At 54.0% G+C, this 21,788-nt stretch overlaps 1 protein-coding gene across 5 annotated transcripts in view, besides 6 other annotated features; it reads left to right on the forward strand.

Moving 5' to 3' along the window:
* The window catches only part of SEPTIN9 (septin 9), a 219,098-nt gene that overhangs the window by 70,500 nt on the left and 126,810 nt on the right, over positions 1-21,788 (forward strand). Inside the window, exon 1 of one of the 5 annotated variants that reach the window (NM_001113493.2) lies at positions 21,339-21,554. The exons of the other annotated variants lie outside the window; for them this stretch is intronic. Within the exon in view, the coding sequence (NP_001106965.1) occupies positions 21,500-21,554 (55 nt within the window). The 5' untranslated portion in view covers positions 21,339-21,499. Of the gene's footprint in view, positions 1-21,338; positions 21,555-21,788 lie in introns of those variants that run through there. 5 annotated transcript variants of the gene reach the window in all.
* Positions 2,194-2,263: an enhancer, noted in NCBI's record as "active region_12829". NCBI's record gives its function as "activates an Ori minimal core promoter by ATAC-STARR-seq in GM12878 lymphoblastoid cells {active_cell/tissue: GM12878}" and the evidence as "EXISTENCE:reporter gene assay evidence [ECO:0000049][PMID:35858748]".
* Positions 4,525-5,026: an enhancer, noted in NCBI's record as "H3K4me1 hESC enhancer chr17:75352605-75353106 (GRCh37/hg19 assembly coordinates)". NCBI's record gives its function as "activates a minimal SCP1, AML or CMV promoter by ChIP-STARR-seq in primed H9 embryonic stem cells {active_cell/tissue: H9 hESC(primed)}" and the evidence as "EXISTENCE:reporter gene assay evidence [ECO:0000049][PMID:30033119]".
* Positions 11,660-12,318: an enhancer, noted in NCBI's record as "H3K4me1 hESC enhancer chr17:75359740-75360398 (GRCh37/hg19 assembly coordinates)". NCBI's record gives its function as "activates a minimal SCP1, AML or CMV promoter by ChIP-STARR-seq in primed H9 embryonic stem cells {active_cell/tissue: H9 hESC(primed)}" and the evidence as "EXISTENCE:reporter gene assay evidence [ECO:0000049][PMID:30033119]".
* Positions 11,849-12,143: an enhancer, noted in NCBI's record as "tiled region #9876; HepG2 Activating DNase matched - State 1:Tss, and K562 Activating non-DNase unmatched - State 5:Enh". NCBI's record gives its function as "activates a minimal TATA promoter and a strong SV40 promoter by Sharpr-MPRA in HepG2 and K562 cells {active_cell/tissue: HepG2 | K562}" and the evidence as "EXISTENCE:reporter gene assay evidence [ECO:0000049][PMID:27701403]".
* Positions 12,319-12,975: an enhancer, noted in NCBI's record as "H3K4me1 hESC enhancer chr17:75360399-75361055 (GRCh37/hg19 assembly coordinates)". NCBI's record gives its function as "activates a minimal SCP1, AML or CMV promoter by ChIP-STARR-seq in primed H9 embryonic stem cells {active_cell/tissue: H9 hESC(primed)}" and the evidence as "EXISTENCE:reporter gene assay evidence [ECO:0000049][PMID:30033119]".
* Positions 20,951-21,450: a silencer, noted in NCBI's record as "silent region_9034". NCBI's record gives its function as "represses an Ori minimal core promoter by ATAC-STARR-seq in GM12878 lymphoblastoid cells {active_cell/tissue: GM12878}" and the evidence as "EXISTENCE:reporter gene assay evidence [ECO:0000049][PMID:35858748]".

Here is a 21,788-nt window from a genome sequence, read left to right on the forward strand (position 1 = left end):
AAGGGCTGCCGTGGGGGAGGGGCCCTTGCCGGGCCACCCTGCTGAGGCCCTGTGTTACTGTCCTGCGGCTGTCATAACAAAGGACCACAAATGAGGTGACTCAAAACATCCGAAATCGGCCACGTGCGGTGGCTCATGCCTGTAATCCCAGCACTTTGGGAGGCCGAGGCGGTTGGATCACGAGGTCAGGAGATCGAGACCATCCTGGCTAACATGGTGAAACCCCGTCTCTACTAAAAATACAAAAAAAAAAAAAAAATTAGCCGGGCGTGGTGGTGGGTGCCTGTAGTCCCAGCTGCTCAGGAGGCTGAGGCAGGAGAATGGCATGAACCTTGGAGGTGGAGGTTGCAGTGAGCCGAGATCGCGCCATTGCACTCCAGCCTGGGTGACAGAGCAAGACTCCGTCTCAAAAACAAAAACAAAAACAAAAACAAAAACATCCGAAATGTCTTCCCTAAAGTTTCTGGAGCCAGAAATCCCAGACCGAGGTGTCTGAAGGTTCATTCCTCCTGGGGGTTCCGAGGGAGACTGTCCCATGCCTTTCTCCGAGCTCTGCGGCGGCCAGCAACCCCTGGTATTCCTCGGCTTGCAGCTCGGCCTACCCCCCACCTGGCCTTCACCCTGTGTCTCTTCTTGTGTCTCTGTCCAAACTGCCCTCTCTGTTGTCTTTTTAATTTATTTTTAGGGACAGGTTCTCATTCTGTCCTCCAGGCTGGAGTGCAGTGGCGTGATCATGGCTCACTGCAGCCTCAGCCTCCCAGGCTCAAGCAATCCTCCCACCTCAGCCTTCCAAGTAGCTGGGACACAGGCGCACGCCACCATGCCTGGCTAATTTTTTAATTTTTTTGTAGAGACGAGGGCCCAGGCTGGTCTCAAACTCCTGCGCTCAGGCAATGAGACTTTGCCTCCCAAAACACTGGGATTAGAGACATGAGCTGCTGTGCCCAGCCTACCTCTGTCTTATAAAGACACCTGTCATTGGATTTAGGGCCCACTCTGATTCAATATGCCCTCAAATAACCCAATTACATCTTCAAAGACCCTATGTCCATATAAAGTCACATTCATAGGTACTGGGGGGTCAGGACTTGCATATGTCTTTTGGGGGAACACAATTCAACCCACAATGGGTCTCACCCACAGAACGAACGGCCTCTCCAGGGTGTGCGCAGGTGGGTGAGGGGCCCAGGAGAGGGACCTGCGTGGCAAGAGGGCTTGTGTTCACGTCAGAGATTCCAGAAGGAGACTGGATGGGGTGGCTGCATGGAGCAAGGGGCTACAGCCACTGTCTCCAAGTAGTTGGTGGGTTGTCTGGTAGAAAGGGAGCATTTATTTTGAGTTCCCCCAAGATATGAAGCTAGTACCAGGTACCTGGAAGGTGCTAGCGAGTAGAGCTTGACTCTTTACAGAAAGAGGTGTTTTTCTCACAATGTTCACTTGAGGACGGTGGAACAGGCTATTTCACAAGGTAGTGAGTTCCCCATGCCTGGAAGCATTCAAGCAGGGGCCATGTGGGAGTTGTTCAGGAGTGCATAGAAGGGACCTCAGAGGTCCCTGCCAATACCATCTTTGCTTGTCTTATTTTACGACAACTTGAATTTCAGAATGTAATGTTATTGGGGATATGTCTACTAGAGGGGCCTCCAGCATCAGGCCCCACACACTATGCATCATTTTTAGGGCAGGGAATGAGAGCAGGCTCCATTCTTTTTGGTTGTCTGTGAGGACCAGGAGGCTTGCTGCTGAGGCAGCTTCCTGTGGAAACAGTGTCTCAGCCCCGCAATCCATTCATCGGAGCTCCAACATCTTAATGAAACACTGTGTCAGATGGGTTCTGGGCATGTGTGTGCAGATTGTCACAAGTCCATGAGAATGCACACACGCACATTGCATGTGTGTGCACACATGTATGCACACATGCACAAGAACACGAAGACCCGAGGCAGGTATAGTCCGTGAGACAGATCCCTCTAGGCTGAAAGACTCCCCACAAGGGTCCCTAGAACAAGGCTCCAGCCTCGGCAGTCCCTCCCACTTCTGGTGGGAGGATCTCCACAGAGAAGAAGGGTCAAGAAGCACAGCTCTTGATGCTCACGGTGTACCAAGCTCTGCTTTAAGCTTGTGTCTTATTTTTTACTTATTTAGCAAATCTGTCGCTCTTGTTTTGTGCCAGATGCTGTTCTCAGCACTTTACAAATATTGATGCATGTTTGTTTCATGACAACCCTGTGAAGTAGGTAGTGTTACCCCGTTTTATAGATGAGGAAACAGGCGTAGAGGGATAAAGGGACTTGCCCAAGGTCTGTCTCTACCTTACACGCACATGAACGCTCACTCATGCGGCAGGCGCTAGTTTCCCTCTGATGTGAGTCAGGCCTTGAGCTGGTTGGGGTCTGGGTCCCACTTTGGTTGTGTTTTGCTGTGGGCACCAAGGAAGCTTCTAGCAGCCTCATCTCCCTGGTATGACCTAGCTCCAGGGACTGGATTTCCCCAAATGCTCCTGCCCAGCCTGGAGCCTCCTTTCCAGCTGGGGGAGGGCTGAACGACCCCTCACTCTTGGAGGCTGCCGGAGCCCCTCCTGCCTGCATGCGGCCGCTGCCGGGTGGACAGGCCTGCTTGTGGGTTGAGGCTCCCAGCAGCTGGGGTGGATCATTTCTCCTCCCAAGAAGCTTTGGGAGAAGCAGCTGAGGGGGCCAGCGTCCTCCTGAGGCCAATTCCCTGCCTCCCCCAGCGCAGGCGCGAAGCCATCTTTGCTTGTGTGTTTGCCACAGACAGTGGAGGGCGGTGCAATCGTGACGCCTGCTTGTTGCACTTTGCGTCCTTGAGGACGTTGACCCCTGGCCGGTGCTGGGCGCTTGCTCTTCAGTCATCTTGCCCTGACCTGGCGTGGCAGGCCCGAGCACTGCTCTTTTACAAGGAAACAGGCTCAGAGGCCTTGAGTCACTTGCCCGGGCTCCCCCAGCCAATAATTGGCTGAGCCAGGATTTCCATCCAGCTCTGTGACTCCAGAAGTCCAAGTTCTTCCCATCACGTCAGGGCCAGGAAAGGATTAGAATGCTTTTCTACGTGCCGATTATTTGGATGATCTGTGCAGCTTAGCTCGTTGTAGTTGCTCAATAAAAATGTGGAATGAATGGGCCTATATGTCCCATTGTGTGACTCAGAGCCAATGACTCTGGCTGATCCTCCTGTTTTCATTCCGTGGCCCAGCATCTCCCTTTGGGGTGTGTGACCTTGGAAGCAGTGACTCTCTCCATCCCACCTTGAATGGTGTCTGCGCCGCAGCAGGGGAGCAGCTGGGGATTGCCAGCGCCTGTTGCTGGTGGGCTGTGCGCCAGATCCCGTCTTGGATGTGTGGGTGATTGTCAGCCACATGTGTGTGAAGGGCTGTGCGTGTAGGATTTGTGCAAATGTGCCCCTCCCTGCTGCCAGCCCATGGGAGGCTGTCAAGATTCTGCCCCTGCACATTAGCCCACACTCTCTTTGTGGCCCACTGCTGTGGCTGTTCCCTTGTGTCACGTGGCTGCAGGCACAGCCCCCAAGTGGATGGGGATCGTGGGCTGAATGTGCATCAGATGCTCCTGCTTCTTGGTGGGTGGAGACCCTCAACCCATGCACCGTGGCTGCCGCATCTGAAAGGCCTTCCATGGTGAAGGACTTGGACCTGAGCAACCCTCCGCAGAGGTCTTAGAAGTGCTCCCTGGCCGGGCGCGGTGGCTCACACCTGTAATCCCAGCACTTTGGGAGGCCGAGGTGGGCGGATCACAAGGTCAGGAGATCGAGACCATCCTGGCTAACACGGTGAAACCCCGTCTCTACTAAAAATACAAAAAATTAGCCGGGCGTGGTGGCGGGTGCCTGTAGTCCCAGCTACTCGGGAGGCTGAGGCAGGAGAATGGCGTGAACCCAGGAGGCGGAGCTTGCAGTGAGCCGAGATCGCGTCACTGCACTCCAGCCTGGGCGACAGAGCGAGACTCCGTCTCAAAAAAAAAAAAAAAATGAAGTGCTCCCAGCTCTTCCTCCTGTGGTGAGGTTCTGAGTTTCCATCCTCAGAAGAAAACCTGGCTGGGGAGGGCATCTCTAGACCCGGACATAAACGCCAGGAGACCAGGGCTGCCCTCTCAGGTGACCAATCACAGAGACTCAGGGAAAGTCACGTTTGGAAGAGGCGACACTGTGTCTCAGCCTCATTCATTTCTCCATCCTACAGACACTGCCTGGTGCCCAGCCCGCACCGCGAGGCTTCCTAAGCAGCTCTGGGCACCGTGCACCTGGCATGGCCTCCAGCCCCATCTCCCTGCCTTGGGAGACCCGGTGGGGACTCCGGGCTGAGCTCCTGTGGCTGTGGAACCTTGGTGGTTTATTGTGGTGGCTGAGAACAGGGACGTGGGGTTGGACGGGTTGAGTGTAACTCCCAGTGGCTCCGTGAACTGCCTGGGAGCCTTGGGCAGCTCTTTCTCACTCTGTGCCTCCGCTTCCTGATGGAAAAATGGGGGCCAGGGGGGAGCGACCTTGAAGGTATTCGTGGGAACCAAGCGAGGTGATAAATGTAGTGTCCTTGGTAGAGAACTGGACACAGAGTCCACCCCCATGAAGGGGGCTGCTCCTCCTCCTTCTATGTTTCCTCTTGTTCTTATTTCTCCTCTTGTATCTTCTCTTCCTGCTTTCCCTCCCCCTCCCCTCCCCCCCCACATGCAGGCACACTCCATTTGGTGCCCCAACTGCCTTTCTCCATTGTCCTTCTGTAAGTGGTTCTCTAAGTGGGAACTCAGGCCTGGAAAGGGTGGGCACCCTGTCTGGTGGGCTCTGGCAGGCCAGGCGCTGAGCAGCCTCAGGAGACACAACCCTAGGAAAAGGCTCATGCAGGCTGGCTGTCATGACGGACTGTTGGTGGGAGAGGGGAAGGCGCCGTGGTAGGGGAAGCTTTGGAAACATCCACTAGTGGCCTTATTTATGACTCAGGACACCTGCCAGGTCACTAGAACACAGCTGAGGAAGCTGTCGGCCAGACGTCCAGAAGCATCAACCTGGTGGCTGGGCTGTGGGGGGACCTCTCTGGACAGGCAGACAAGGTGTCGGAGGAAGGGGCTGACACTCACTCAGTGTCTGTCATGCACTGAGGGCACAAAGGGCAGGATGGAGAGCTGGCCCACGCCACCTGTGGAATCTTCCAGGTGTGGGGGCAGATGGGGAAGCAAGGGGGCTTGAAGACACATGCGCTCATTAAATGTCCTTAAATCCCAAGAAGAAGAACAAGGACACATCCACAGGGGCAGGGCTGAAAGTCTGATGCATGGTGTTTTGGGGTCTGCTCCTGCTGCAACAGCTACAGTGGCTCCCTCTTACCTTTCTCTTCCCTCCATTCTGTTGTGAAAATGTTCAAAACACATGGTCAAGTTGAAAGCATTTTACAGGGAACACATTCAGCCATCACCTAGATTCTACCACTAACACCAAGCTACACCTGCTTTATCACCTCACCGTCCATCTATCCCTCCTTCGCCTGGCCATGAATCCATTTTATTTTTATTTTTTGGTGCATTTCAAAGTAATTTCAGGTCATCCTGATTATCTCTGGAATCACTGTCAGAAATTCCCTCCCTTCCCCTCCCCTCTCCTTTCCTTTCCTTTTCTGAGATGGGATCTTGCTAGGTCACCTAGGCTGAAGTGCGGTGGTGCAGTCATAGCACACTGCAGCCTCCAACTCCCGAGCTCAAGCAATCCTCCTGCCTCAGCCTCCTGAGTAGCTGGGACCGCAGGCATCCACCACCACACCCAGCTTCATTTTCAAAATTTCTCACCAACTCCTCACTCCTTGTATTCACCCAGGACCACTTCTCACAAAGCCAGGGTGCTGCAGGAGGGGTCAGAACCCCAAGCCCTAATCCTGGCTCTGTCATTAACACTGTGCGACCCTCAGCAAATCATTTTGCCTGTCTAGGTCCTGTTTTCATTCCTATGAAACGAGGGCGTTAAACTGTATGTTATAAATAATGAGGGCTACCAGTTACCAAGCTCCTATTTTAGGCCAGGCACTTTTCACATGTTATTATGAGTCCTTTCAATCTAGGTATTGTTCTCAATGGACAGCTTAGTCAACGGAAGCTCAGAGAGGTGGTGTAACTTGCCAAAAGTCCCACTACCCAGTGAATGTCCCCACGGGGTCTGCACCCAGGAGTCTGACACAGAGCCCAGGCCTCAGCACCTGGCGATGTTTTGGGGGTGTGAGCAGCCCAGCCTACTCTGGGCACGTGTTTACTTGCTGTTCCTTCTGCCTCATGTTTGTGTTTGTCCCCTCTGAAGCTCAGACTGTTATTTTCCAGTTCCAAATACCAAAACTGGCTAGGCACGGTGGCTCATGCCTGTAATCCCAGCACTTTGGGAGACCAAGGCGGGTGGATCACTTGAAGTCAGGAGTTCAAGACCAGCCTGGCCAACATGGTAAAACCCCATCTCTACAAAAAATACAAAAATTAGCCAGACATGGTGGCGTGCACCTGTAGTCCCAGCTACTCAAGGAGAACCCAGCTACCCAGCTACTGAGGCACGAGAATCACTTAAACCTGGGAGGTGGAGGTTGCAGTGAGCCGAGATCGCACCACTCCTCTCTAGGCTAGGCAACAAGTGTGAGACTCTGTCTCAAAAATAATAAATAAATAAAATAAAATAAAAATTAAAACCAAATGCCAAAACCAACCCACAAAATAAACCTTGGTTAAAGTAGCCTGTTCATTTTGCTTTAACTATGTATATTGCACCAGATTCTGCCAGGGGCTCAGCGTATAAAGATGAGACCCCTGCCCTGCCAGACAGGTGGGATGATGGCCATACCTTGAGTTAGTCAAGGCACCATCTGGCTGTGTAACAAAAGCTAAAACATCAGAGGCTGAGCAGCACTCGGACCCACGTCCCAGTCCAAGTGTCAGTCGTTATGGGGGCCCAGGACAGCCCGGACCTAGTTCATTCCTTTGGTGCATCCTCGACACACAGCTTCCATCTCTTGAGCTGAGATGGTTCCAGCTCCTGCCGTCATGTCTGCACTCCAGCCAGAGGGAAGGGAAGAAGGGAGAGGGGAAAGGGCAAGTGTCCCTCTTTATTTTTAAGGGCATGACCTGAAAGTTAAACACTTCAGCTCCTTCCCACTGGCCAGAACCCAGTTGTATGGCCGCTCCTGTCATCAGGGAGGCTGAGCAATGTATTCTTCAGCTGGGCTTCCCTGTGCACAACCAAAACTTCAGTTACTATAGAAAAAAGGGAGCTCAGATATTGGGGAAACAACTAGCATCTGTACCACATGCACTGATAGCTCTCTTTGTATGAACAGAGCTGTGGCAGGCCCTATGCCAGGGAGAAAGTAAGATTGGAAAAGAGCTTACCAAGGAGGTGGCATTTGCACTGTGCTTAAGGGGCAAGAAAAACGTCTTCCAATCAGGAGCCACAAATGCTTGGCTGAAGTGCTACTGCTCTTTCATCCTGGAGCTGGAACAGACGTCACCAGTCAATCATGATGGCTGCTGGGTGCACTGGCTAACATCTATAATCCCAGCACTTTGTGAGGCTGAGGGTGGGAAGATTGCTTGGGGCCAGGAGTTTGAGACCAGTTTGGGCAAATTGCAAGACCCTGTCTCTGCAAAAAAATATAAAATGTAGCTGAGTGTGGTGGCACCTGTAGACCCAGCCCCAGCTACTCGAGAGGCTGAGATGGGAGGATCGCTTGGGCCTAGGAGTTCGAGGCTGCAGTGAGCTATGATTGCACCACTGCACTCCAGCCTGGGTGACAGAGCAGGACCTGTCTCTAAAAACAATAAAATAAAATCAAAGTTTTAAAATGGAAAAAAAATCATGAGCACATAACTCCAGATGTATCCTCAAGATAGCAAACCCGGGTGGGCGCAGTGGCTCATGCCTGTAATCCTGGCACTTTGGGAGGCCAAGGTGGGTGGATCACCTGAGGTCAGGAGTTTGAGACTAGCCTGGCCAACAGCCCCATCTGTACTACAAATACAAAATTAGCTGGGCATGGTGGTGGGCACCTGTGATCCCAGCTACTTGGAAGGCTGAGGCAGGAGAATTGCTTGAACCCAGGAGGCGGAGGTTGCAGTGAGCCAAGATCACACCATTGCACTCCAGCCTGGAGAAAAAAAGCAAAACTCTGTCTCAAAAAAAAAAAAAAAAAGCAAACCCAGGGCCAGGTCTGTAGCCACATGGCCACCTTCTTCCCTGAGCATGGAGGCAGCCTCAGAAACCTGCCCCACATCACATCAGTGGGCAGTTGATTGGGTCAGCCTGCCAGTTGAACCCTATTTGCCACAGTCATTCTCCATAGTAAGGGGCATTCTAGACATACCCCCCTTCCCAGGGAAGAATAAGCCGTAGCTGCCTGAGCGTTTTATCCAGTGGTGTGCATGTCTTTTCCCAACTCTGTGTTTAGTGATGTCCTGTTTGTAGCTTGAAATTTGCCACAGTGGGTGTGTTTACACCACAGGAATTGGCAAACACTACATATCAGGCCTTACCTCCTGCTCCCTACTAGGGTAGGTTGTTTTTTTTTTGTTGTTTTTGTTTTTTGTTTCTTTTTTTTTTTGAGACGGAGTCTCGCTCTGTCGCCCAGGCTGGCGTGGAGTGATGCGATCTCCGCTCACTGCAAGCTCCGCCTCCCTGGTTCACACCATTCTCCTGCCTGAGCTTCCAGAATAGCTGGGACTACAGGCGCCCGCCACCACACCCGGCTAATTTTTTGTATTTTTAGTAGAGACGGGGTTTCACCGTGTTAGCCAGGATGGTCTCGATCTCCTGACCTCGCAATCTGCCCTCCTCGGCCTCCCAAAATGCTGGCATTATGCCACTGCGCCCGGCCTAGGGTAGGTTGTTAGAAATGTACCAGCCTGCCAGTTTCAGCCTTGTTTGTCTTTCATCCTTTTTTTTTTTTTTTTTTTTTTTGAGACGGGGTCTCTCTCTGTTGCCCCCCAGGCTGGAGTGCAGTGGTGTGATCCTGGCTCACTGCAACCTCTGCCTCCTGGGATCAAGTGATTCTCCTGCCTCAGCCTCCCAAGTAGCTGGGATTACAGGTGCCCACCACCACGTCCAGCTAAATTTTGTATTTTTAGTAGAGATGGGGTTTCACCACATTGGCCAGGCTGGTATCGAACTCCTTACCTAAGGTGATCCACCCGCCTTGGCCTCCCAAAGTGCTGGGATTACAGGCGTGAGCCACCGCACTGGGCCTCTTTCGTTCTTTCTTAATGAAAATCTTCCTGAAAGATTTGCCTACTGATGTCTGTGTCAATAGGTACTGCCTGCGGGACAGAGCCTGCCCTCCTTTTGAAGGTCTTTCTCTGTCTGGGTGACCATCTGCATGTCACTCCCTGCTGCTCAGAACTAAAGATGTAGCTATGCCTGGGGTAGGTTGGGAAAACCTGTGGGAATCACAGAGCTTGCTGTCATGCTGTGTTCTGGATACCTGAAGCTTGGCAGGCAGGTGGGATCGAGGGTGGGCATTAGGAAAGTGATGTGGCTCTATAGGAAGGGGACATAGGTCCTGAGATTTTAGGTCCCCAATTGGACAAAGCTGTTTTTTTTTTCTGGATAAATGTTCTAGCTTATTCATAATCGAGTGGTCAGTTTTCTTTTCTTTTCTTTTCTTTTTTTTTTTGAGATGGAGTCTCGCTCTTTCGCCCAGGCTGGAGTGCAGTGGCGCTATCTCGGCTCACTGCAAGCTCCGCCTCCCAGGTTCACGCCATTCTCCCGCCTCAGCCTCCGGAGTAGCTGGGACTACAGGCGCCTGCCACCGCGTCCGGCTAATTTTTTGTATTTTTAGTAGAGACAGGGTTTCACCGTGTTAGCCAGGATGGTCTCGATCTCTTGACCTCGTGATCCGCCCGCCTCGGCCTCCCAAAGTGCTGGGATTACAGGCGTGAGCCACCGCGCCCGGCCAAGTGGTCAGTTTTCTCAGCTGCCGGGTCTTGCACACCTTGCTGGCTCTGGAGACCATATGCACCATGTAGACCCCATTTGTTTCCTACCCTCAGTGTTGGGGGAGGGGCCAAGGGCCTGTCGATGTGTTGACACCTGGCCATTCACTGGCCTTGAATGTCCACATTCACCTCCTTGAAATCGATGCCCCGTATCGGAGGCTCCATGTGGATTTGGGGGCAGAGGCCTGTACTCCAGATGGTGGGGTGGCCTTCACCAATCAGGCAGATTCCCTGCCCTGCCCTGCCCTTTGGGCTCTGTAGCTCCAGATGTGTGCTCAAGATCTGTGGCCACATGGATGGGACAAGCCACAGAGACTCAGACTCCGTGGTCCCTGTGACCAGAGTAGCCGTGGCCCTGTCTGGGAATGTTCCCACCCTGTTGCTGAAGGTGAGAAATTTCTCTGTGCTGGAGAACAGCTGTGCTGAGAAGTTGGCCCATCTGGCTTGCAGGACTGCTGGGGCAAGGGAGGTCTGCTGCCGGTCTCTTCCTTCCTCCTCTGACTGGGTGCTCCTTGTCTAGGTTCCTTGCAGCAAAAGAATTCTCTAATTTATTTTGTTCCCTTATTGAGTCTCTACTCCATGAAGCCCACCTCCTAATCCCAGCTGACTGGCTCCCACCTCCTCAAGAGGAAGGCCAGGGGCAGACGAGGCTGAAGGAGGCTGACTCCCCTGTGCCTTCGCAGTCTGAGCTGATGCTGCTGTATGTTCACAGGGCTCCTTCAGCTTTTAAAAAGGCTTCAACACGTTCGTCACACGCTTGTGGCTCTCCTGGATGCCACACTAACTCAGTAAGGCCTGAGTTAGAGGCTGTTCCTGAGGCTGTGAAAATAGAAGAAGGGTCCAGAGGAGAATCCCTTCATCTGACGATCCCAGGAAGGCTTCCTAGAAGAAGCAGCCTCTGAGCTGAGACCTGAAGACAGATCAGGCCTGAGTCAGGCCAGGGAGGGTGTGAGGGGCCCACCAGGCAGAGGGAACAGGATAGGGCAGGCACAGAGGTCTGGCACCTGGCTTGTGGGGAAGTGTGAGCCCCTGGGCATGACCAAGGCGGGGAGAAGTGGCGTGAGAGGAGGCAGATGTGGCTGGCAGGAGATCGGCGGCCCCGGCCTTGCTGAGCTCCACTCTGTATGCACCAGGTGACAGAGGCTGCCCAGGACGGTGGGCAGGGAAGTGACAGGTCACATGGTCATCCCACCAACAGCCGGGAGTCCAGCTTGGGGGGACCCAAGACCCTGGGGAAGGCACGAGTCAGGGGCCTGCTAGAGCCAGGAGCTAGTGGGAGAAGGAAACAGTGTTGCTTATGAATTATAAACAGACACTCCCGCAACTTTCTCTGACGTGATACAATCTCAAAGTGGGCCACCCAGAGGTGGGAAGGTGACTTCTGGCTCTCCAGGCCTTGGGCCTGTCTTTTTTTTTTTTTTTTTTTTTTTTTTGAGATGGAGTCTCACTCTGTTGCCCAGGCTGGAGTGCAGTGGTGTAATCTTGGCTCACTACCACCTCTGCCTCCTGCGTTCAAGCAATCCTCCTGCCTCAGCCTCCTGAGTAGCTGGGATTACAGGCACCTGCCACCACACCCGGCTAATTTTTGTATTTTTAGTAGAGATGGTGTTTCACCATGTTGGCCAGGCTGGTCTCGAATTCCTGACCTCAGGTGATCCGCCCACCTTGGCCTCCCAAAGTGCTGGGATTACAGGCATGAGCCACTGTGCCCAGCCGAGCCCATCTTCAAGTTCTCCCTGGCCCTCAGTGTTTCTGTATTAGTTCACCCTTTTGGCTCCCTGCTTTTAAGAGTCTCCCTTAAGACTGTCCCCAAGTGGACAGGTCCCCAGAACCAAGGAGCAGCCTTAGGAGTCCCCAGTTACAGACACTCCAGGGGGTCCGTGTGGCCCTCAGCCTCTGGCCTGGTTCCGGCAGCCTTGGTCCTTTGTGCTGTCTCTCACATAGCCTGGCCAGAGCTGGCCAGGTCCCTTGGCTGGGCCGAGTCATCGTGGCCAGTGACTCATGCAGGGGGAGAAAAGTGAGGAGGGGGAACAGAGTGCGAGGGGGACTGTGTTAATAACAAACCCATTAGGTCCCTGAGGTCACTTCACAGGAGGGACAAATGGTTCATTTAGGTTGATCTGGCTGCCGGCTGGCTTCCAGAGACACTCAGGGTGGGGAAGATTTCATTATCTGGGGAAAGCAATACCAGATTGTCTGGAGGGGCCCAGCCAGCGCACCCCGCGCTTCCTGTCTGCCTCCCACGCAGAGCGTTCTGTTCCCAAGGCGGCAGGCCAAGAGCGCGAGCCGAGGCTCAGGTGCAAAGAGGGGTGCGGCATGGGGGCACTGCAGGGCACGGGGTGCATGCATTTTTATTTATTTTTTTACTGAGTGTTAGGGTAATTTGTTAATGGGGTATATTTGGTGACATAAAACCTTCTGTCGATTCATGGCAGTCTGGAACGGAGTGGAAGCGTCCCACTCCTGGGGAACCCCCACACACATTTGGCTGTGAACGTCGGTGCCTTTGCACTGGAGCCTCTTTGGAGTGTGCTGGGCAGAGCGGAGAGGTTCCTCTTCTCTCTTCTCCATCATCCTGTGGAGGTGTCAACATGTAGCCAGAGATGGTCAGTGGCAGTGAGGAGAGGGGGGCAGGAAGAGACCAGGGCTGGGGGCTTGCCAGCCCACAGTTCTACCCCTGAACACCCATGGCCTCCCTGTTCAGGTCAGCGAGGCTGGGGGCAGAGACGGGCAGGGGTCCCCCAATGTTGGGCATCTCCCCGCTCCCTCATACTCTGGATTTGCCCTCTGGAGAAAGCTCTGGAGCACCCAGAAGTCCTGGGGCTGCTGGCTGAGGTGGGGAGCAGAGCCCAGCTGTGCCTGGAGGCTCCCCACTTCCACTCAGCTTCCAGGGACAGTCTCAGCTGTGCAGGCCCAGGCCGCTGAGGCTGGCTCCAGAAATTTCTTCACAACCACCACTGGATGGAAAACCAGTTCTCTAAAGGGCCCCAGAGCCAGTTTTGTTTCTTCTTCCACAGGTTCCCATAGTTAGAGCATCGGGTCTTTGTTAGAGATGCAGAAGAGACGATGTCCCCAGCCCTTATGTGGTTCGGTCTCCACTGTGGATGTTGGTGATCTTAGTCTCCTTCTCAAAACCAAGAGGGCTGATGCCCCACATTCCAGGCCCCCAGAAAGAGCCGCCACCCACCCACACCGCTACATCTTCTTTCCACTTTTCTGTTCCGGAAAGAGTAGAGTGGATATGCGCTCCTGTAGAAATCCATCTACAGCCTGACTGCAGATGTATTTTGCTCCCTTATTGAGTCTCTGCTCCATGAAGCCTGCCTTGTTTGTACCTCTTTCTCTCTCTTTCTCTCTTTCTTCCCTCTCTTCCTTCCCTTCCGTTCCCTTCCTTTTTCTTTCCTTCCTGTCTTATTCTTTCCTCTTTCTTTCTTTCCTCTCTCTCTCTTTCCCCCTTTCTCTGTCTTTCCTATCTTTTCTTTCTCTCTCTTTCCTCTTTTTTGAACAGCCAAAGATAGAATGAATGGCATAGGTAGGTACTGAGCTCCCTGTAACTGGAGGTGTTCAAGTGTAGGGTGGATGGGCATTTATAGGGCAGGCATTGAGGAAGGATCTCCCTGGGATTGTGGATGGCAGGACAGGCCCTGTGGAGCCTTCTGAGCGGGTGCAGAAGAGGGAGGGCATGTTCCTGCTCCCTGCCCTTCCCGGGTTGCCAGGCCGCCACTCCCAACCTCCACCCTCTTTCCTTCCACCTGCTGGGCCTTACGGGATGGGCAGAGGCATTGTTAGAACATGGAGCCGCGGTCCACAGAGGGCCAGCAGGGAGGAGAGCTCCCTGGGGACCACGTCGCCTCAGTCACTGTGGTGACTTTGAAAATAAATGCTTTCTTCTCTGCTTGAGTCCCTGTTGTTCCTGCTGACGTGGAACTAGGGCAGGCTGGTGACTCAGCCCTCATCCCTGCACTGCATCGGTGGCAAGTTGCCTCCAGCCTCAGACCCCACAGAGCAGGGTGCCTTCTTCAGAAAAACAGTAGGGAGGCCAGGACACCAAGGGCCCCAGGGACAGCCTGTTTCTCCTGGCTGGCATGAGTTCTAGCCAAGCCTCCTGGTACCCTGGGGGTGAGGAGGTACCAGCTGTGTGCTTTAGTCACTGGCTGCTTTGAGGCTGGGTCGGTGCCAGGCTGGCCACTCCTTCTTGTCCCCTAGTGTGACTTTGCAGAGCTCCCGGAAGGGTCAGAGGGTTTTTTTCCATCACTGGTGTCCATGGGATACTGTGTCCCCATCTCATTTTTGTACTCCAGTCTCAGACGGGTGCTAGGAAGTTGGAGACTTTAGCCATTTCACGACTGTGTCTTGCGGGGCTGGAGTAGGAACAGGAGTAGGAGGAACGCTCTGGTCATGGGACTGTGTGAAGAGAGAAGGATCAGGAAGAAAACATGAGCTATCATGTCTGGGTTATACCTCAGCAGAGCCGCTGGTGGCCTCCCAGGCATCTGAATTTACTAATCACAAAGCTCACCAGGTGTGCAAATAAACAAATGCTGTTCAGGAGGCACAGCCAGGGTTCTGCTGGAGAGGGATCATCTTGGAGGGGTCATACTTTCCACCCAGTCCTTCAGTCCTTCTGTCCTGTGTGTGTGCAGCCCCTGACCACCACCATCCCTGCCCCTGCCACTTGCTCCCAGGGTTCCATCAGGTTGGATGTTATTGCAATAAAATGTAGCAACAGAAGGTCCAGGCAGTGCTGCAGTCCCTGGTGGTATCATCAGAGCCAGCAGGCAGCAGGGCTGGGGAACTCCAAGCTGATTCAGTCCCAAGTGCCGGAGCGGGGAGCTCGGATGAGGTGGGGGTGGGGAACCGGGGAGCCATGGAGCAGAGCATTTGCTGTGCTGAAGGCCAGGAGCCTCCTTGGGAGATCATGAATTTAGAACACTAATACTTTGTTTAAAAAGTCCCCTGCCTTGGAGATAAGAGCTCAGGCCGCTGTGGTCAGGTTTTGCTGTAAATGTTCTGCACAAAGCAGGCTGGGGGGATCACTGGGAAGTCTGGGGAACAGATTGGTCATGTGCTTCTTTGAGTGAAACCTTATGGTTGCATTGAAGCGGCCAGGCAGAGGGTGTGATGGGGTGTGGTAGCTGCACACCGGCTCAGTCAGGCTGAATGGGGAAATGCAAACTCAGGTGGCCTGAAAGAGACTTAGTGGTCCACAGCCTGGTGGCTGCTCCCAGTACAGGTGATGTAAAGAGAGAAGGGGTTCCGGGGGCTTGGCCCAGGTGGAAACCATGCACTGTCTGTGATCCTGGGCATGTCGAGGCTGGAGCAGGTCTGCTTGGTGGCTGGCAGAACGCACATGAAGAATCCATGTGTGTTCTGAACGTCCCCTCTGCCCCTTTGGGCTCATGCCCCATCAGGAGTCTCCCGACTCTGCCATTCTGCAAAGGAAACTGCGCTTTGTCATTGCACAGGATCGAACAGGTGTGTGTGGAGTCCCTAAAGCCACTGTCTCAAGGGGTCTCATGGGACAATGGGAGAGTTGCTGTGATGTTTAAGACTAAAGTGATGGCTGGGCGCAGTGGCTCACGTCTGTAATCCCAGCACTTTGGGAGGCTGAGGAGGATGGATCACTTGAGGCCAGGAGTTCGAGACTACCCTGGCCAACACGGTGAAACCCCATCTCTACTAAAAAAACAAAAATTAGCCGGGCATGGTAGCGGGTGCCTGTAATCCCAGCTACTCGGGAGGCTGAGGCAGGAGAATTGCTCCGATCTGGGAGGCGGAGGTTGCAGTGAGCCGAGATCACGCCACTACACTACAGCCCGGGCGACAGAGTGAGACTGTCTAAAATAATAATAATGCTAATAATAAATAAAATAATAATAATAAAATAATAAAAGCAAGGACTTGAACAAATATTTGCACACCCATGTTTGTAGCAGCTTTACTCTCAATTGCTCAAATGTGGAAGGAATGGATATACAAAGTGTGTGTACACACAGTGGAATATCATTCAGCCTTCAAAAGGAACGGAATTCTGTCACTACATGTGAACCTTGAATAATGAACCTTGAAGACCTCATGCTACGTAAGCCTGTCTCACAAGGACAAATATTGTATGATTTCACTTATGTGAAGTCAAATTCATAGAGAAATTGGAATGACGGTTGCCAGCAGCTAGGGGAAGGAAGGATGGGGAGTTATTGTTTAATGAGGACAGAGTTTCAGTTTGGGAAGTTGGAAGAAGTTTCGGAGGTGGATGGTGTTGATGGGTGTACAATGTGAATGTACTTAATGTCACTAACATGGAAACTTGGTTAAAATGGTAAATTTGTCTTTTTTGTTTTTGTTTTTTTTTTTTTTGAGACGGAGTCTCGCTCTGTCGCCCAGGCTGGAGTGCACTGGCGTGATCTTGGCTCACTGTAACCTCCGCCTCCCAGGTTCAGGCGATTCTCGTGCCTCAGCCTCCCAGAGAGCTGGGATTATAGGCGTTTGCCACCACGCCCGGCTGATTTTTGTATTTTTAGTAGAGACAGGGTTTCACCATGTTGGCCAGGCTGGTCTTGAACTCCTGACCTCAGGTGATCCACCCACCTTGGCCTTCCAAAGTGCTGGGATTACAGGCGTGAGCCATGGTGGCTGGCCAAAAATGGTAAATTTTATATTACATATATTTTATCACAGTAAAAATGCATTGCTCTATTAGAAAAATGATAGATTTTTACAATATGAATTAAATTACAAGTTATGAAGGAAAAATTAAGCAAAACATTAAAAAATTACTTATAAGTAATTATATTTAAAACAAAAGATAATAAATACACAACTTTCATCACCTCTTAGGTTTTTTGCAACATTTAACTATTGTCTGTCCTGTTGCGGTTATGTTCTTGAGGTTGTATTTGTATGATAGAAACACTATATTCGTGGTGACTAAACATCTCTTCTCAGTCTCACCTCCAATGATGTCATACAGATAACTTGAAATTGGCCGGCTGGGCACGATGGCTCATGCCTGTAATCCCAGCACTTTGGGAGGCCAAGGCAGGCAGATCATCTGAGTTCAAAACCAGCCTGGCCAGCAGGGTGAATCCTCATCTCTAGTAAAAATACAAAAATTAGCCAGGAGTGGTGGCGGGTGCCTGTAATCCGAGCTACTTGGGAGGCTGAGGCAGGAGAATCACTTGAACCTGGGAGGTGGAGTTTGCAGTGAGCCAGGATTGCCCCACTGCACTCCAGACCGGGTGACAGAGTGAGACCCTGTCAAAAAAGAAAAGAAAAGAAAGAAATTGGCCAAGGCAGGAATATTGACACCACAGGAATAGGCAAGCGCTACAAATCGGGAAACTGAGTGTTGTTGCTTTTGCTGGCCCCAGGTGGCCGGTTGTTGACCGTTAACTGGCACACTACTGGAGGAGGGAGGTTCAGACTGATTCGCAGAGAGACTAGAGGTAGAAACGCACCATGGTTTGGATGCTGAGGGTGAGGGAAAGAGAGGAGTCAACAGTGGTGCCCGGAGACTTGGCTTGAGCAACTAGGTGGATGGTAGCACCGTTTCCTAAGATGAGGGGCTGTGGGAACTTGAGGGGCTGTGGAAGGCTCTGCCACTGACGGACCCAGGGCTCGGCAGCTCTGGGAGGCCTACTTTGTGTCAGGCCACGCAGAGATAAGACCATCTGGGCCCTGCCCTTGGGAAGTCTCTGTCTATGAGGACACAGCCTGCCACCTAATGGGGTGTCCCGTCTGGAGCCTCAGTGTTGCTGGGAGAAAGCCCCTCACCTTCCTTCGCTCTCCGAGCCTCTTTTGCTTCCCTGCCAGCTGAGCCTCTCCATGGAGGCTGTGCCTGGAGGGGGGTCATGGATATGGATGTGTGCGCCAAACGCTGCTTCCTCGTGGATTTCCTCCCCACTCCGTTCCCACGCTTTGTAAGCTTCATTTCCCCGGGGCCTGACCTGTGGGGTTTCTCTCCAGACCTGCTCCTTCCCATTTCCAGAAAGGCGTGCAGGGGTTTCCTATGGCTCTCTTCCCTGTCCCCATCCCCCTTCCCTTGGGACAGTGATCTGCTGGACGGGTGGGCTACCCACAGGGTTTGTGATTGCTTAGACATCTTTGCTGTATGAAGCTTTGACCTCAAGGCATGATGCAGATGGGAATAAGGCACGAGTTTCTCCTGGCTGCTGTAACAACTGTCGAAACTGGGTGGCTTATAGCAAGGGGAATGTGTCCTCTCACAGTTCTGGAGGCCAGAAGTCTGAAATCAAGGTGCCAGCAGGGCCAGCTTCCTCTGAAGACTCCAGGGGAAAACCTTTCTTTGCCTCTTCCAGCTTCTGGTGGCCCCAGGTGTTCCTTGGCCTGTGGCTGCATCACTCCGGTCTCTGCCTCTGTCTTCACAAGGCCTTTTTCTGTGTCTCTGTACTTTCTTTTCTGTCTCTTAGAAGGACACAGCATTGAATTTAGGGCCCACCTTATCTTGAGATCCTTGCCTAAATTCTTTCTGCAGAGACCCTTAAACAGAATCAGGTCACATTTGAGGTTCCAAGTGGGCATATCTTTGTTTTGGGGGGGATCACCGGCCCACTGTAGGTCTCGTTGTGCACTGAAGACGCAGGCGGTCCCTTTGGCCAGGCCTGCAGTCGGTCTTGCCTTCTTTTGTGACCGTGGAAGAATGCACCTTGCTGGATGCACAGGCCTTTATAGTTCTTTTGTTCTTGCCAAATTTCAGCTCAGTTTCCTCTCTGCTGCCGGCGTGCATCTTCTCTGCCCAGTGCCCCTTCTGGGACTGTGTGTCCAGGCCCTGAGGCCCTAGAAAAGGGGGGTGGAGGGCCTCCTCACTATCCTGTAGCAATGAGGCCTCATTAAAATCCTGGAGCCCCAGACTGGACCCAGCCCTTAGCTATGATCAAAGGACAGCTCGGGATATGATTAAAGGGCTAGAGAAAGATGATTTAGGCTGAGAAAGAGGAGGCCAAGGAGCAACTGGATTGTCCTTGAATGTGGAAAAGGTAATTATGACTTGAAGGGTGGTGCCCAGCTGTTTCCCATCTCCTCTGAGGACAGGAAAAAAAAGGAAATAAATGATGTACAATTAGAGCAGTTGGTTAGATACGAGGGTGAACTTCCTGGCTGGGAGTATGGCCAAGCCCTGATTTGGGTTTCCTGAAAGAGCTCGGGGAACCTCCTTACCTGGAGGTTTCTAGGCCTGGTCATGTGGCTCTGAGTGATTACATTGAAGGGGCAGTGGCTGGGGCTGGAGCCGGTGGGCTCTGAGCACAGTCACGAAGGCATGCGCACTTTCTGGCTGCTCTCCTGCCATTGTCCCTTGGGTTCCCATTTTGGTGAGGCGTGCACCCTGGCGGCGCTCCCCAGGGAACTAAATATGTTTGCTGCACTGTGCGTGGAGATGGAGAATGTACAATTGGCTGACCCTGTGCTAATCTGGTGGAACTCCATGCCAGCCCTGGGAAAGAACAATTGCATGGGTGTGTCCACACTCACCAGGTGCTTTTTAGAAAAACACTCGAGAATAATGCTGTGGCTTAGGATGGCTGTTGTGCCGGACCCGGCATCTTCCCAGGGGGGCTGTGTTGTTGGGCTGAGTTTCTTAGGTACTGGACCCCCAAATCCCCAAATACGGCGTGGACAGGTGGCCCAGTAGGGGCTGGACTATCCGATAGGCCCAGGTGCTGGAGTTCAGACAAGACATACCCTGGCCTGGCGTGGAAGATACGGGGTGCTATTAATGGCAGCAATGGCTGCATTTCTGAAACCCGGGCTCCCAGGCCGACGAGGGTGTGCACGCATCTGAAATGTCTGTGGTTTTGCAGTTCCCATGTCCACAAACTCACTTGGTTGAAAATAGTTCAAAATATCCAAAGCATGAGGGAGGGAGTGCCTGCTTTTCTTAAAAAGGAAGGACTTGATTTCATCTACTTAAAAAGCCACCCAAACCTAGAACATTTTCCGCAAGAGACCCCCTGCCCCCCGCCTCTCCAGAATGGCTGGAGAGTCTCAGCACTCCTGCACATTTGGGATATTTCAGAGGGGGTGGGGAGGGGCAAGTGGGCAGCGAGCGACCTCAGACCCAGGATGAGCTGTCAGGCGCTCCCCGGCCACACATTCAAGGGACCGGAGTGCAGTTGTAGCGTTGCGGCCTGCTGCTTCGGGGGTGGGGGTGTTGTTCCATGCTGTGAATTCTCACATGGCCCCTGACTCTGGGCAGAGGCCGAGGGTCTAAGGGACGGGGTGACAGGGAGAGCATGCAGGAGTGGGTTTCTGGCTTTCCAGGGCGAGTGGAAGAAGCGCCTCTCTCTCTTGTAGGTGACAGACCTGGGGGGCCCTTCTTGAGGATGAGAGCCTGTTGCTTCTCAAGTTCTGTGTCTAACCCAGGTCCCCAGGTCTACCCCAGCCCCTCGGCCCTGCCTGCCTTGTGGATGATATAGTTTAAGGGTAGAGACCGCTGGCCTGGAGGGAAGGCTAGGCCTCAGGTTAGGGCCCAGAAGGGAGGGAGAAGCCCTTGGGGCAGCTCCCTTTCTGCTCACTCACTGCCTAGCTCCTTCCTTCACACCTTCCTTCGGAAACGTCTGCTCCTGACAAGGTCTACTTCCTGCTCTCAGGAGGCCCTTATTGTGGAGGAAGGGAGGCGTCGCCCGTCCCTGGCTTCTCTGACAGCCGTGTTCCATCCCCGCCCTGTGCCCCTTCTCCCGGACAGTGCCTTCTCCAGGGCTCACCCAGGAGGGTGCAGCGGTGGCCCCCGGGGCGGTGGTCGTGGTGGGGGTGTTAGCTGCAGGGGTGCCCTCGGTGGGTGGGAGTTGGTGGCCTCTCGCTGGTGCCATGGGACTCGCATGTTCGCCCTGCGCCCCTCGGCTCTTGAGCCCACAGGCCGGGATCCTGCCTGCCAGCCGCGTGCGCTGCCGTTTAACCCTTGCAGGCGCAGAGCGCGCGGCGGCGGTGACAGAGAACTTTGTTTGGCTGCCCAAATACAGCCTCCTGCAGAAGGACCCTGCGCCCGGGGAAGGGGAGGAATCTCTTCCCCTCTGGGCGCCCGCCCTCCTCGCCATGGCCCGGCCTCCACATCCGCCCACATCTGGCCGCAGCGGGGCGCCCGGGGGGAGGGGCTGAGGCCGCGTCTCTCGCCGTCCCCTGGGCGCGGGCCAGGCGGGGAGGAGGGGGGCGCTCCGGTCGTGTGCCCAGGACTGTCCCCCAGCGGCCACTCGGGCCCCAGCCCCCCAGGCCTGGCCTTGACAGGCGGGCGGAGCAGCCAGTGCGAGACAGGGAGGCCGGTGCGGGTGCGGGAACCTGATCCGCCCGGGAGGCGGGGGCGGGGCGGGGGCGCAGCGCGCGGGGAGGGGCCGGCGCCCGCCTTCCTCCCCCATTCATTCAGCTGAGCCAGGGGGCCTAGGGGCTCCTCCGGCGGCTAGCTCTGCACTGCAGGAGCGCGGGCGCGGCGCCCCAGCCAGCGCGCAGGGCCCGGGCCCCGCCGGGGGCGCTTCCTCGCCGCTGCCCTCCGCGCGACCCGCTGCCCACCAGCCATCATGTCGGACCCCGCGGTCAACGCGCAGCTGGATGGGATCATTTCGGACTTCGAAGGTGGGTGCTGGGCTGGCTGCTGCGGCCGCGGACGTGCTGGAGAGGACCCTGCGGGTGGGCCTGGCGCGGGACGGGGGTGCGCTGAGGGGAGACGGGAGTGCGCTGAGGGGAGACGGGACCCCTAATCCAGGCGCCCTCCCGCTGAGAGCGCCGCGCGCCCCCGGCCCCGTGCCCGCGCCGCCTACGTGGGGGACCCTGTTAGGGGCACCCGCGTAGACCCTGCGCGCCCTCACA

This window comes from Homo sapiens, chromosome 17 (genome assembly GCF_000001405.40).
Source record: "Homo sapiens chromosome 17, GRCh38.p14 Primary Assembly".
In the NCBI taxonomy this organism is placed as follows: domain Eukaryota; kingdom Metazoa; phylum Chordata; class Mammalia; order Primates; family Hominidae; genus Homo; species Homo sapiens.